Genomic DNA, 13,585 nt, shown 5'->3' with positions numbered 1-13,585 from the left:
GGTTCAAGTGATTCTCCTGCCTCAGCCTCCCGAGTAGCTGGGACTGCAGGTGGGTGCCACCATGCCCGGTTAATTTTTTGTATTTTTAGTAGAGATAGGGTTTCACTATGTTAGCCAGGATTGTCTTGATCTCCTGACCTTGTGATCCACCCGCCTCGGCCTCCCAAAGTGCTGGGATTACAGGCATAAGCTACTGCGCCCAGCCTGTGCTCATTTCTTTTGAGCATATAATAGGAATGGAATTAACAGTTTTTAAGGTAACCATATATTTAGGTTTAGTAAACACTGACAAATATTTTTCTAAAATGTATAAACCAATTCAAACTCCTATAATATAAGATGATTTTAATTGCTTCAAATTTTTGCCTTTATCTTGTTAGGCTTTAAGTTTTGCCTTTCTGAATAGGATGTGTTAGTGATATCTCACTGTTGCTTTCATTTTCAGTTTCCTGATGAGTCATAATATTGTGTACCTATTCATATGCTTCATATACATTGAATGTCATTTAGTGGAAGAGAATGTTCATGTCTTTGCCCATTTTTAAATTATTTGTACTTATCGATTTGTAACAATTTTTTCCATATGGACTTTTCCATATGGACATATCATTGACCTAACTAACGTAATTTGTTGAAAAGACAACCCTTGCACTGCAGTGTTACCTTTCTCATGAATCAGGTGACTACACACATGTTTCTGGCTCAATAGCAATCATTCTCATTACCATAGTTTAAGATAGGGGTTGGCAACTTATAGTGTAAGTTCTCCAACTGTGTTCTTCTTTATAATTGGCTTTTCATTTTCATAGAAGTGTTAGAATCAGGAAGAAATACTTCCTAACTCAGAGGTCAACAAACTATGGCCCACAGACCAAATATGACCCACCACCTGATTTTCAAAAAAAGTGTTATTGGAACACAACCACATTCACTTATTTGTGTATTATCTATGTCTACTTTCCCACCAGAACAGCAAAGTTGAGTTGTTGTGACAGAGACCTTATTGTCTGCACAGCCTAAAATATTTACTATCTGGCTTCTTAAAATATTGGTTAACTTAATTCGTTCCATAGGGCAACATCATCTTGATACTAGAACTGGACAAATATAAACAAAGAAACTTATTGACCAATATCCTTCATGAACAGAGATACAAAGGTTCTAAACAAAATTTTAGAAAATTCAAATTCAGTAATATGTAAAAAGAATAATACATCATGATCAAGTATTCCTGGCTTTTCCAAAAAATGTAGAGTTGGTTAAACATTAGAAAAATCAATCAACATAATATACCATATTAACAAACTAAGAAATCTCAACAGAGGAATGTTACAAGAAAAACGTGGGACTGTAACATTTCTCCCAAACTCAGAAGGAACCGAGAGACCAAAGTATGACTTGGACAAGTTCAGCTTGATAAGTAGATGAGTTTATTAGGACTTATATACAGGGCATTCCTGGACGGCAGCAAGACAGCTCTAGAGAGCTGTGTTGCCACCATCTCTAAGCTGCTTTTAAGCTAATGTTCTGGTCTTTGCCTACTGTGTTTAGGCAAGGAGACTGTTTTCCTTGATCAGATACTCTCTGGGATGTTTGGGTTCTCAGGGATACCTGCTCCTCAGCTGGGTACCATGGTCTTGGCTTATCACCCAGCCTTCAGGGTTCAAGTAGCAGATATCACCCTTAAGCAAGCTGGTGGAGGACTGTCACACTATAAGGCAGAAAAAGCATTTGACATAATTCAACATTCATTACTGATGAAAACTCTCAGTAAACTAGAAATAGAGGAGAACTTCCTAATGTGATAAAGTGTATTTACAAAAAATCTACAACTAAGATTATACTTAAAGACTGAATGTTTTCCCCCTAAGGTCGTAAACAAGATAGTCATGTTTGCTTTCACCACTTCTATTCAATGTTGGAAATTCTAGCTAGTGAAATTAGGGGAAAAAAGAAAGAGGAAAGAAAAGAAGGAACAATGGAAGGAAAGAAGAATCATCTAAATTGTGAAGATAGCACTTATTATTCTCAAATGACATGGCCATCTCATGTAGAAAATCAGAATGTACAAAAAGCTACTAGAGTTAATGGTTGAGTTCAGAAAGGCTGTAGGATGCAAGATCAATATTAAAAACTGCATTTGTATATACTAGTAACAATCAGAAATGTTTAAAAAGTTATAATAAAACTAAAATATGAAATACTTAGGGATAAGTTTGAGAAAAGATGTGAAATATCTATACACTGAAAACTACAAAATATTTCTGAGAGAAATTGAAGAAGACTTTAATACTTGGAGAGATAAAACTTGCTTATAGGCCAGAAAACTCAGTATTGTTAAGATAACAATTATTCTCAAACGAATACACAAATTCAACACTAACCCAGTCAAAACCCAGGAGGTTTCTTTGCAGAAATTGGCAATCTGATTCCAAAATTAATATGGAAATGAAAAGGATCTACAGTTGCCAAAACAACTCCGAAAAAGAACAAACCTGGATGGCTATCAACTACCTCATTTCACAGAATTATTATAAAGCTTCAGAAAGCCAGACAGCATGGTATGGTTGTAAGATAGGCAAGTAGGTCAATGGAACACAATAGAGAATCCAGAAACAAACCAACATGTATATAAACAACTGATGTTTGAAAGAGGCCCAAAGGCATCCTGGTGGAAAGGATAGTCTTTTCAAAAAGTAGTGTTAGAAAAATTGAATATCCACATGCAAAATATATATATATATAATATGTTATATATATATATGAACTTGTGTCTATACCTTGCAAAAATTAAAACAGTTCATACATTTAAACATAAAACCTAAAACTACAAGACCTCTACAAGAAAATGTAAGAAATTTTTATGACACTGGATTAGGCAAAGATTTCTTAGATATGACAGCAGAATTCATAAAAGAACAAACATGCATTGGATTTCTTCAAAATTAAAAATAGCTCTTTGAAAGTCAGTGTTAAGAAAATGAAAAATCAGGCCACAAACTCGGGGAAATACTTATAAATGCACTTACCTGATAAAGGACTGGTATCCAGAATGAACAATACTTAATATAGTACTCTCAACACTAAGAGGATAAACAACCCAATTAAATAAGTGGGCAAAAGATATGAACAGACACTTCAAAGAAAACATATTGTTAGCAAATAAGCACAGGAAAATACTTTGAATATCAGTCATTTGGGAAATGCAAACTAAAATCACAATCAAATACCACTACACATCTATTAGAATGCCTAAAATTTAAAAGACTGAGGGTGAAGTATTGGAAAGGACATAGCGGAATTGGAACTCTTATAAATTTGTCCTATGCATGTAAATACTATGGAAAACATTTTGACAGGTTCTTAAAAAGTTAATCATATAACTAATGTTGTTAATCATACTACCATATGATTCAGCCATGGCACTTCTAGGTATCTACTCAAGAGAAAAGGAAATATGTGTCCATATAAAGATTTGTACAAAAATACTCATAGCAGCTTTATTTGTATTAGTTAAATCTGGAAATAATCCAAATGTTCATCAATAGATGAATGGCTAAAATATTGTGGTATATCCCTGCAAAGAAATACTATTAAGCAACAAAAGAAACAAACTGTTGATTCAAAATATGTTACTCTTCTTTTTCTTTTTGTTTGAGATGGAGTCTCACTTTGTCACCCAGGCTGGGGCACAGTGGTGCAATCATAGCTCGCTGTAGCCTTGAACTTCTGGGTTCAAACCATCCTCCTGCCTCAGCCTCCTGAGTAGCTGGGACTATAAGTGTGTGCCACCACACCCAGCTAATTTTTAGAAATTTTTTTGTGGAGACGAGGGGTTGTGGGGGGGTGGTGCAGTTTCTCACTATTGCCCAGGCTGGTCTTGAACTAGTGGTCTCAAGTGATCCTTCCACCTAGGCCTCCCAAAGCACTGGGATTACAGTGTTAGCCACTGTGCCCAGCCTAAAATATGTTAGTTTTTTGTTGCTGCAAAATACATTAGCACAAACTTCAGGGTCTCAAAACAACATACGTTTATTATCTCAGGATAATAAATGATCAGGAGTCTGGGCATGACTTAGTTAGGTCTTTTGCTTAGGGTCTCACAAGACTAATTGAAGTGTCCCACCAGGATGCATTCTCATCTAGACACTTGACTGGGGAAGAATCCATGTCCAAGCTCACTCAGGTTGTTGGCGGAATTCATTTCCTTGCAGCTTTAGGTATGAGGACACCCGCTTCTTGCTGGTTGCTGGCTGGAAGACGCCTTTAATTCTGAGAGGCTGCCCGCACTTCCTAGAGGAGCTTGAAGCTCCTGGCCATGTGGACTTTCCCCACACGACCACTTACATCATGAAACCAGCAAGGACTGCTGAGTAAATAATTATGCTGAGTAAAAGAAACTGATCAAAATACAGTACATACTGGATTCTATTTTTACAAAACTAGAAAATACAAACTAATCTACAGTGACAAAGGTTAGATCAGTGGTTCCTTTGAGTTGGGGGACAAAGTGAGATAGGAGAAAGGTATTACAAAGGGGGACAAGTACATTTTAGAGGTGATAAGTTCACTTTTTTTTTTTTTTTTTTGAGACAGAGTGTTGCTCTGTTGCCCAGGCTCGAGTGCAATGGCGTGATCTTGGCTCCCTGCCATCTCTGCCTCCCGGGTTCAAGTGATTCTCCTGCTTCAGCCTCCTGAGTAGTTGGGATTACAGGCATATGCCACCATGCCCGGCTAATTTTTGTATTTTTAGTAGAGATGGGGTTTCACCATGTTAGTCAGGCTGGTCTCGAACTCCTGACCTCAGGTGATTCGCCCGCCTCGGCCTCCTGAAGTGCTGGGATTACAGGCGTGAACCACTGTGCCCAGCAAGTTCAGTGTCTTGATTAGGGTAACGGGTTCATATGAATACTTATGTCACACTCATTAACATGTATACTTTATGTGCAGTTTATCATATGCCAATTATACTTTAGCAAAACTATTTTTAAAAGCAAAAATGTAAAAAAAAAAAAAAGTAATTCTAAAAAAAAATGATAAAATTACACCCACAGCCCATTCTGTTGTTCTTCCTACTTCTGCCTCCCAATAGTGGCAGTCAGAGGGGAAGAAGGAGGACCCCAGGTCACAAGCAGCAGAGATGAATATATCTCAGTGGTTTGTGATGGTCTTGTCTTGTCTGAATGTACTCACATCTGAAACTCCATAGATCACAAAAGAATATGAAGTCATTGGCCATAACTGGATGCAGACTCATATTCACTGTGAAAATACAACAACATGGGATACGGAATAATGAAAAGAATTAAAAAATTTAATAATGACACTAACAAGAGTAAAACAACTTTAAATAATTGATCATTGGTCTCACTGTACTAAGTTCTTTATAAATAGTCATATACTTAATCTTGAAAAGAATTTTCCAAAGTGAGGTAGGAGATCAGCAGGACTTCTTTTCCAAGCACCGGTAATGACCATGCTGATCAAAAACAGGATGCAGTAAAAAAAAAACAACAAAAAAACCTCAGCAGAGTGGTGGCTCACACCTATAATCCCAGTGCTTTGAGAGGCTGAGGTGGGAGGATCCCCTGAGCCTAGAAGTTCGATATCAGCTGGGCAACATAGTGAGAACTCCATCCCTAAAAATGTAAGTTAAAAAAAAATTAGCGAGACATGGTGGCCTACATGTGTAGTCTCAGCTGCTTGTGGGGCTGAGGTGGGAGGATTGCTTGAGCCTGGGAGATCAAGGCAGCAGTGAGCTACGATTGTGCCACTGCACTCCAGCTGGGGCGACAGAGCAAGACCCTGTCTCAAAAACAAAAAACCCTGGCTGGGTGCAGTGGCTCACACCTGTAATCACAACACTTCAGGACGCTGATGTGGGCAGATCACCTAAGGTCAGGAGTTCGAGACCAGCCTGGCCAATATGGTGAAACCCCATCTCTACTAAAAATACAAAAATTAGCTGGGCATGGTGGCATGCACCTGTAATACCAGCTACTAGGGAGGCTGAGGCATGAGAATTGCTTGAACCCGGGAGGTGGAGGTTGCAGTGAGTCAAGATCGAGCCACTGCACTCCAGCCTGGGCAATAGAGCCAGACTCAGTCTCAAACAAAACAAAACAAAACAGCTGGCTGAAACCAGCAGATGGTGACAAAGCAACCTCTAGTTGCCCTCACAGCTCATTAGAATAAAGACACTCCCATCGGCGCCATGACAGTTTACAAATGCCATGGACATGACTCAGAAGTTACCCTATAGGGTTCTGGGAGCTCCCCCCACCCCTTTTCTAGAAAATTCTGAATAACACACTACTTAATTAGCATATAATTAATAGTGGGTATAAATATAGCTAGCCTGTGTGCTTTACTGTGGCTCTTTCTTCAGTTCTGGCTCCTGCTCTGACTCCTGCTCTGGACTGCTCCTGTTGCTGAACACTGCTCCTGCCCTTCCTGTCTGTTCTACTGGTGGAGCATCCACTTTGCTGTACACTGCTATTCTGGGCTGTTCTGCCTGTGGGTTAGTTGTGCTTTCTGCAGCATCCACCTTGCTGTACACAGTTGCTGTAGGCTTCTCTGCCTATGGGTTAGCCTTGCTTTGTGGAGCACCCGCTTTGCTGTACTATGCTGCTACTCTGGGATGCTCTATGGGTGAGCCTTGCTCTGTGGAGCACCTATTATGCTGCATGCTGCTACTCTGGGCTGCTCTGCCTGTGCGTTAGCTTGTGCTGTGTGGAGCGCCCACTTTGCTGCATGCTGCTACTTGGCTGCTCTGCCTGTGGGTTAGCTTGTGCTCTGTGGAGCACCCACTTTTCTGTATACTACTACTACAGGCTGTGCTGCCTGTGGGTTAGCACACAGGTCGCCCTTTGTTTATGGAGCAGTTTGCTGTACACTATTGGTCTAGGAAGTGTTTTTAAATTAACTCTGAAGCCAAAAGCCCTCCAGGGTTAAGTCCCAATTTTGGGGTTCACCTGTGTCAGCCTGGTGACCCTGAAGGAAGGAACCATCAAAATGAAGAGACCATGAAGGGAGCATCAAGATGAGCGGGTTGACCATCAAGATAAAGTTTGGAGTTGTGATACTGTAATGCTATATACTAGCCAAAGGCTCTTTTCAGAGCCATGTTTTCTTGGTGACTAACTGGTTGTACACTGAAGCTTTGGAAACCTTTGCCTGGACCCAAATTAATGGCCAATTGGCACCATGTGGTTTCTGTGATTTCCCTGTCATATTGACCTTTCTGGGTAAACCAGGAAATGAAAGTGGGGCCTCCAGCTAGTCCCATGTTCAGATTATGTCCCCATTGCCCCGTTTTTGACCATCGTCTATTAAATCTCTAATGACTGGCTACTTGATATTACCATTCAGTTCCTAAATGCATGGTTGTATGTCAGAGCCATGTTCCTTCTAGGATTGGGTTAGAGTCCCACTCTAGGGGGAATTTATTGGGTTATTGTCAGTCCCACTCTACGTGGCGTTAGAATTGAGAGTCCTGCCCTAGGGGCTTTGTTTTTTGGTCACCTTTCTAAGATTGGGGTTTAAATTTCCACTAAGGGTTCTTAATTTGGTCAGCGTTTTTTTACTTCCATACTTAAAGTGCCTTCTTTGTAACATTCCATTAGCTAGTGATGGTAGTTGCCAGCCCACTGCCCACTCATCTTTCACTTTTGTGGCACCTACTTCTTGATACCCATGTTCTTTTGGCAGGAGTCAGTGGTAATTTCCCTACTGCTCTTGAAGAAAAGGGAGGTGGAAATTTGAAAGGAAAAGTAACTGGACTCTCTGGACTTGGAAGAATTTCTGGGTTTAGTAGGTATCTCTGGTAGACATAACAACAGTGAGCGTCCTGAAACACTTCCTGCTAGGGTGCCTTTTAGGCAACTAAAGCAAATTCAAATTTGATGTCTTAAAAACTCATCTTCTATTATAACAGTGTTTAGTACAAATTAATTTCCCAAGAAATTTGGCCTAAAAATGGTTCACTCTCCCTGGAGCCTCCTTGGTGCCTTAATATGAGGAAGGGGGTCCTGCCAGTTCTCCACTACAGGATTCCATCCCAAGTTCATCAGGCACCCCTCTGCTTTAACCAACTAGCTCCAGCCTATATGCCATACTGCCTGAGGAAATAAGTCCAACCAGTCTAATCAGGAGTGATAAAGTCCTATCAGCCCTTAAAATCAAACTTACATCTATTGTGAGAGGTTGAGACGTTGCTAATGGCGGGAACAGTACTTGTGCCTTTTTCCATGTCTGATTTAGCTTCATGCAAGGGAAACATTGGCTGGTATCAGAGGATCCAGGGAAGTTTATAGTTTGATGTAACTTGGCATGACTTGCAAATAGTGTCCACCTGCTGTGCTGTAGAGGAGAAACAAGGGATTTTTGAATACTGCCTGGGCATATGCTGATGGAATGGCTGCTTGTAACCAGGATCATGCCATTTATTGTATGTGGGAGTGTACTTCCAGATTTGGACCCCCATGGGATTACCAGAGGGGTTCCTGAGATCTCAAATGTAGAAATCATAGGTAACTTGTTTAATAGAAGATATGAAAGTGTGCTTAATCCAGTTAATTATGACAAGGTTAGAGAAGTAACTGTAGGGGAGGATAAAAATCCTATTCTAGTCAGGGCTGTTTGGTTGAGGCACTCAGGAAATATTGCAGGACAGACTCCCCAGAAAGGCAAACTCTTTTATCACTCAGTCTGTCCTTGATGTTAGGAGGAAGCTATAACAGGCAGAAAGGGGAAACGCAAACTCCTATAAGCCAATTTTTAAATATGGCCTTTCCAGTTTACAACAATAGGCACAGGTCAAAACAGGCAGAGATAACCAAAAGAAATAATATCCAAAATGCAATTGTTAGTGACTACTTTAAGCACCCTCTCCCACCTCAGGGTTAGCCAGCCTGAGGAGATTTGAGATCAGCATCTCAGATGCCCAGATGAGAGCCCCGAACTTGCTGGCCCCAGGGCCAATATCACTGTGCCTTCTGTAAGCAAGAGGGCCATTGAAAAAGGGACTGTTCCAAGCTTCAAAGGGAGCCTAGGCTACCCAAACCCATAATGGCCAAGAAAACAAGACTGACCGGGCCCAAGGTCCCCCACAGCTCCCACTGGACACCTTACCATCTCCATGGAAGAGGCTTAGGTAACTTTTGAAGTGGCAAATAAAAATATTTAGTTAAAATGTGTTCTTATTGAGATAATAATTTTGTCAAATTCAGAAACTATATAAAGGTTGATTCAAATTATGGATTAGAAAAGGCTATGAAATAAGGAATCTATAAGTAGGAGAGAGATGTGAAGAAAGTTATGGATGTGGAGATGTATTTTTGGTAAGGAAGGTCATAAAGAATGATTGTATAAAGGAAGGTTATAAAGAAAAGAGCATAACTGTATATGAAAAAGGATCTTCAATTTTAAAAAATCAATATGAGAGGACTATTGCAGTATGAAAAGAAAATCTTATATGGTAAACTCTTGTTCTAGAGTCAAATTACTAGGTATTTAAGGAAGAGGTAGTATAGGACAAGTCAGAAAGTCCAAGCATATCACAGATGGTCTTTGTAAGTTGTGACAAGGTTTGTGAAGGGGAATATATAAAAGGAATTTTGTATATGATTCTTAGGAATAATTAAAAGGGAACTGTTTATAATAGTCTTTCTAAAGAATGGTCCCCTCTTTTAAAACAAGGTTTTATGGCCAGGCACGGTGGGTTGCACCTGTAATCCCAGCACTTTGGGAGGCCAAGGCAGGTGGATCACGAGGTCAGGAGTTTGAGACCAGCCTGGCCAATATGGTGAAACCCCATCTCTACTAAAAATACAAAAATTAGCAGGGCATGGTGGTGCGCGCCTCTAGTCCCAGCTGCTCAGGAGGCTGAGGCAGGAGAATCACTTGAACCCAGGAGGCAGAGGCCGCAGTGAGCTGAGATTGCGTCACTGCACTCCAGCCTGAGTGACAGAGCGAGACTCCATCTCAAAAAAACTAAAAACCAAAAACCAAAAAACAAACAAAAAAAACAAGGTTTTCTTAAGGTATTGATTTGTTCTTAATGAAATTAATAAAAATTTTGCTTTTCAATTCTATAGCTTTTTTTTTTTTTTTTGAAAACTCAGATTCATATCTCAGAAGTGCTTTTAGCTTTTTGTCCCTTTGAGAAGCCTGGTTTTTTTTTTTTTTTTTTTTTTTTTTGAGTCAGAGTCTTGCTCTGTCGCCCAGGCTGGAGTGCAGTGGCACAATCTCTGCTCACTGCAAGCTCTGCCTCCTGGGTTCACGCCATTCTCCTGCCTCAGCCTCCCGAGTAGCTGGGACTACAGGCACCTGCCACCATGCCCAGCTACTTTTTTGTATTTTTAGTAGAGATGGGGTTTCACCATGTTAGCCAGGATGGACTCAATCTCCTGACCTCGTGATCCGCCCACCTCGGCATCTCAAAATGCTGGGATTACAGGCGTGAGACACCATGCCCAGCTGAGAAGCCTGGTTTTAAATATTATCAAGATAGTTCCTGTGTTTTCTTTATTAGGTTTGTGACTGCTTAACAAAAACTGAAATTTACAAGGATTAAGGTTTTTACATCTGTGTAACTTTCTGTATTGCCTTTAAAGTCTTTTGATGATCATTTTGGTTAAATAAGTAACTATCGGTTACAATGACCTGTAGTTCTGTATCAACAAAATATTTTGGGTCTCTTAACTCTTTCTGACAAATGTGAACAGAATCAAATCCTAGTTTAAGACACTGGCTTATTGCTGGGGTTTATTAAAACTATAAAAATCACAAGGTTGTAAAATCTTGCAGCTCCTAGTATCACCACTTCTAGCTGTTTTAAAAAGGTTCTTATTAGGTGCTGTTAACGAATCCTTTGGAATGTTAAACTTCATGGAGTTATTAGCTGAGCACACTTGACCAGCATACCTACACTTGTGAACTGGTAGAAGACCTCCACTACCTATTTAAAAGAACCAACATGCAGCCAGAGGTGGAAATATGATGCTGTGGGTCAGCATAAAAGCATAAATTTTCTTCTTCTTAATGGTAATTTTTCTGCTCTACCATTCCAGACAGTTTTTCCTGGTAAAGACCTCTTTTGTCCCCGCTAATGGAATTCAGTAAAGGGATCTCTACCATCATTCATGTGGTTCTTACCTTTTCCATAAGCTCAGCTGCTGAAATGGCTTGCTTTATTCCTAAGACTAGTTTTACCTAGTAGCTGCTGAAATGACTTTTGGTGACTCTAAGACATTTTACTTACTACTGTCACTTGCAGGTCAGAGCTTGCCAGCTCCCAAGAGCTTCTCTAGTGCCAATTAGCTTTCTTTCAAAACAATATATAACGTTTCTCTTTCTAGTAAAATCTCCAACTTTCTCTGTTCTTCAGACATACAGAGGACCAACCCAGTCTGTGCATATGTCTCGAATTGCAATTTTGTGATTCCCAAATAAAATGTTTAGAGATTCATCTCTATATTTTATTTTGACTTTGACAGTACTTAGGCCAAAATTAGGAGTTAAATATAACAGAAATTGCTTCTCGGCCTTTTGGCTAACATCAAGTGTAATGTTTGTTCTTATCAATTTAATATCTGATATATCCTGTATCCAAGGAACAATATATTAAATGGACTTTTGGAAGTAGGAGATAGAATAGCAACTTCCTCTGTCCACTCCACACATCATCTTGGTATTGCAGTACTTCCAAAATGGTGCATCCTCCTCTGGGGGAAATTTTTTTTAAATGCTAGCAAGAGATTACAAGTGAAATATGATTCATACCTATAAATAACTGCTTTAGAAAGGGGCCAGTCTTGTTTTTATTTAATTAACCACATCTACTTATAATTATACTATTCTTTAGTGTCATTTTTGCCTAACACCTGAGTGCCTTATAAGATTTTTAAGCTCTATAAACTATGGTCCATGTTTCTATGACTTTCCATTTTAGTCTAGGTCCAACAAATAATATTGACATAACATTAAATAGTTCCATGATGTGATACAAGCATTTATATTTTTAAGGACAACTCCCCAGAATCCTTAGTAATGTTTTATCCAAAGAATGTTCAAGGTTTAGGGGGCAGAGGAATTTCATTTAAAAAAATGATGTGAGACAATTCCTATACTTCCTAGTCTGTCTACTTAGTCTTTAAAAGAAAAAAAAAGTTCCCCATAATAAACACATATCCCTCATTGAAGTGACTTCTAATAAAACATAGAAATAATGCAAGAATTAAAACTCATCTTCTTTTACACTGAGGAGCTCTCCTCAGGCATCCAACTTTGAAGCCTCCCAAGTGCACCTGAAGGGCTCTGGTCTGATGTTCTCCTTTTGTTGGGACTGGTGAGATCACATCTTTCACTCACATTCTGCCACACCCATCTCAACTGCTTTCTCCTTTGACTGGATTTCCATTAAAAAGTCAATAAAAATAAACAGCCTATATAGGACTATAGGATTTGTGAGTGGTACTTTTGCAGGTTATATATGTTCTATCACCCCAAATTTTTCTTAGCACCTATTTTGTATAGGAAGTGTGCAAACAGTAACAATGCATTTAATGTTGAAAAGGAAAGACTTGATGCATGCAATGGTAATATAATTTCTTCAGGTTGAAAAATACAGAAAACTACTTCTTTTGATTTGTGTTTTGCATTTCATTCTGAACATAATAAAAACACAAAAAGGAAAGTTTAGTATGTATGCATTTAAAATGTTTTAACAGATATCAGCAAATAAGGATAGAAAACAAATGACAAACTAGAAAATATTTCTACTATGTAAAGTTGAAAAAGTAACTCCCAATAAGATGGAGACTTCTCCAGAGTAGGGACTTGATCCTATCAGACAGATGTTGGTCAAAAAGTATTGAATATTTATGCCTCCACATCTTCTCATTCCTTCAGTTTATGGCTTTGATGCCACCTACCCTGGGATATTTCTCCTGACCTCCCAGGTTAAGGACCTCCCTTGTTTATGTACTTATGGCCTCATTTCGTTCTCCACAACACAAAGGAAAATTATATCAAATAATCTAATTACTTATCTAGTATTTGTATCCCAGGAGAATATGTAATTTCCCTAACTCTGTTCCCAACTCAGCAATAGGCCCCAGTATTGGTGAAGCAGATGCCTGGTCATATCATCCATTCTGGATATGCCACCACACTTAAGAACCACATCAGGGGAGTTGTAGAAGTGAGTTCCCAAAACATTTCCTCTTACCATTTCCACCTAGTCTGCTGGTTGTAGGGATATGCTTATTTTGTGGGTATACATTTTCCTGGACCTGTATTAAGGCAATTGAGTTCCAAAAGACACTAGTCCTGGCAATAACTTCAATTCCTGTTCTGTGCTTGATGCCTTCTTGTGTGTCTGTTTCTGAATGTGAGAGGGACATATCATCTGAATGTGAGAGGCACTTCTCTTGCTTTTGAGAACCTACAAATAATTTTGTATGAATTATTTTGCTATTGCTTCAAGAATCTGAACGGTTTATAATATTTTGCTTATGAGAAAAATTAGGAACTAGAAGCCTGGAATGAAAGGAGAAACAAGACACAGTGGGCGGTGAGTCCA

The 13,585-nt window shown here is 39.3% G+C and overlaps 1 pseudogene, besides 1 other annotated feature; it reads left to right on the top strand.

The window, feature by feature from the left end:
- Nucleotides 6,205–6,304: an enhancer, noted in NCBI's record as "active region_24259". NCBI's record gives its function as "activates an Ori minimal core promoter by ATAC-STARR-seq in GM12878 lymphoblastoid cells {active_cell/tissue: GM12878}" and the evidence as "EXISTENCE:reporter gene assay evidence [ECO:0000049][PMID:35858748]".
- On the top strand, nt 11,535–11,725 carry RNU2-62P (RNA, U2 small nuclear 62, pseudogene; annotated as a pseudogene).

This window comes from Homo sapiens, chromosome 6, assembly GCF_000001405.40.
Source record: "Homo sapiens chromosome 6, GRCh38.p14 Primary Assembly".
Taxonomy (NCBI): domain Eukaryota; kingdom Metazoa; phylum Chordata; class Mammalia; order Primates; family Hominidae; genus Homo; species Homo sapiens.
This window is presented reverse-complemented; position numbering and strand designations above follow the sequence as displayed.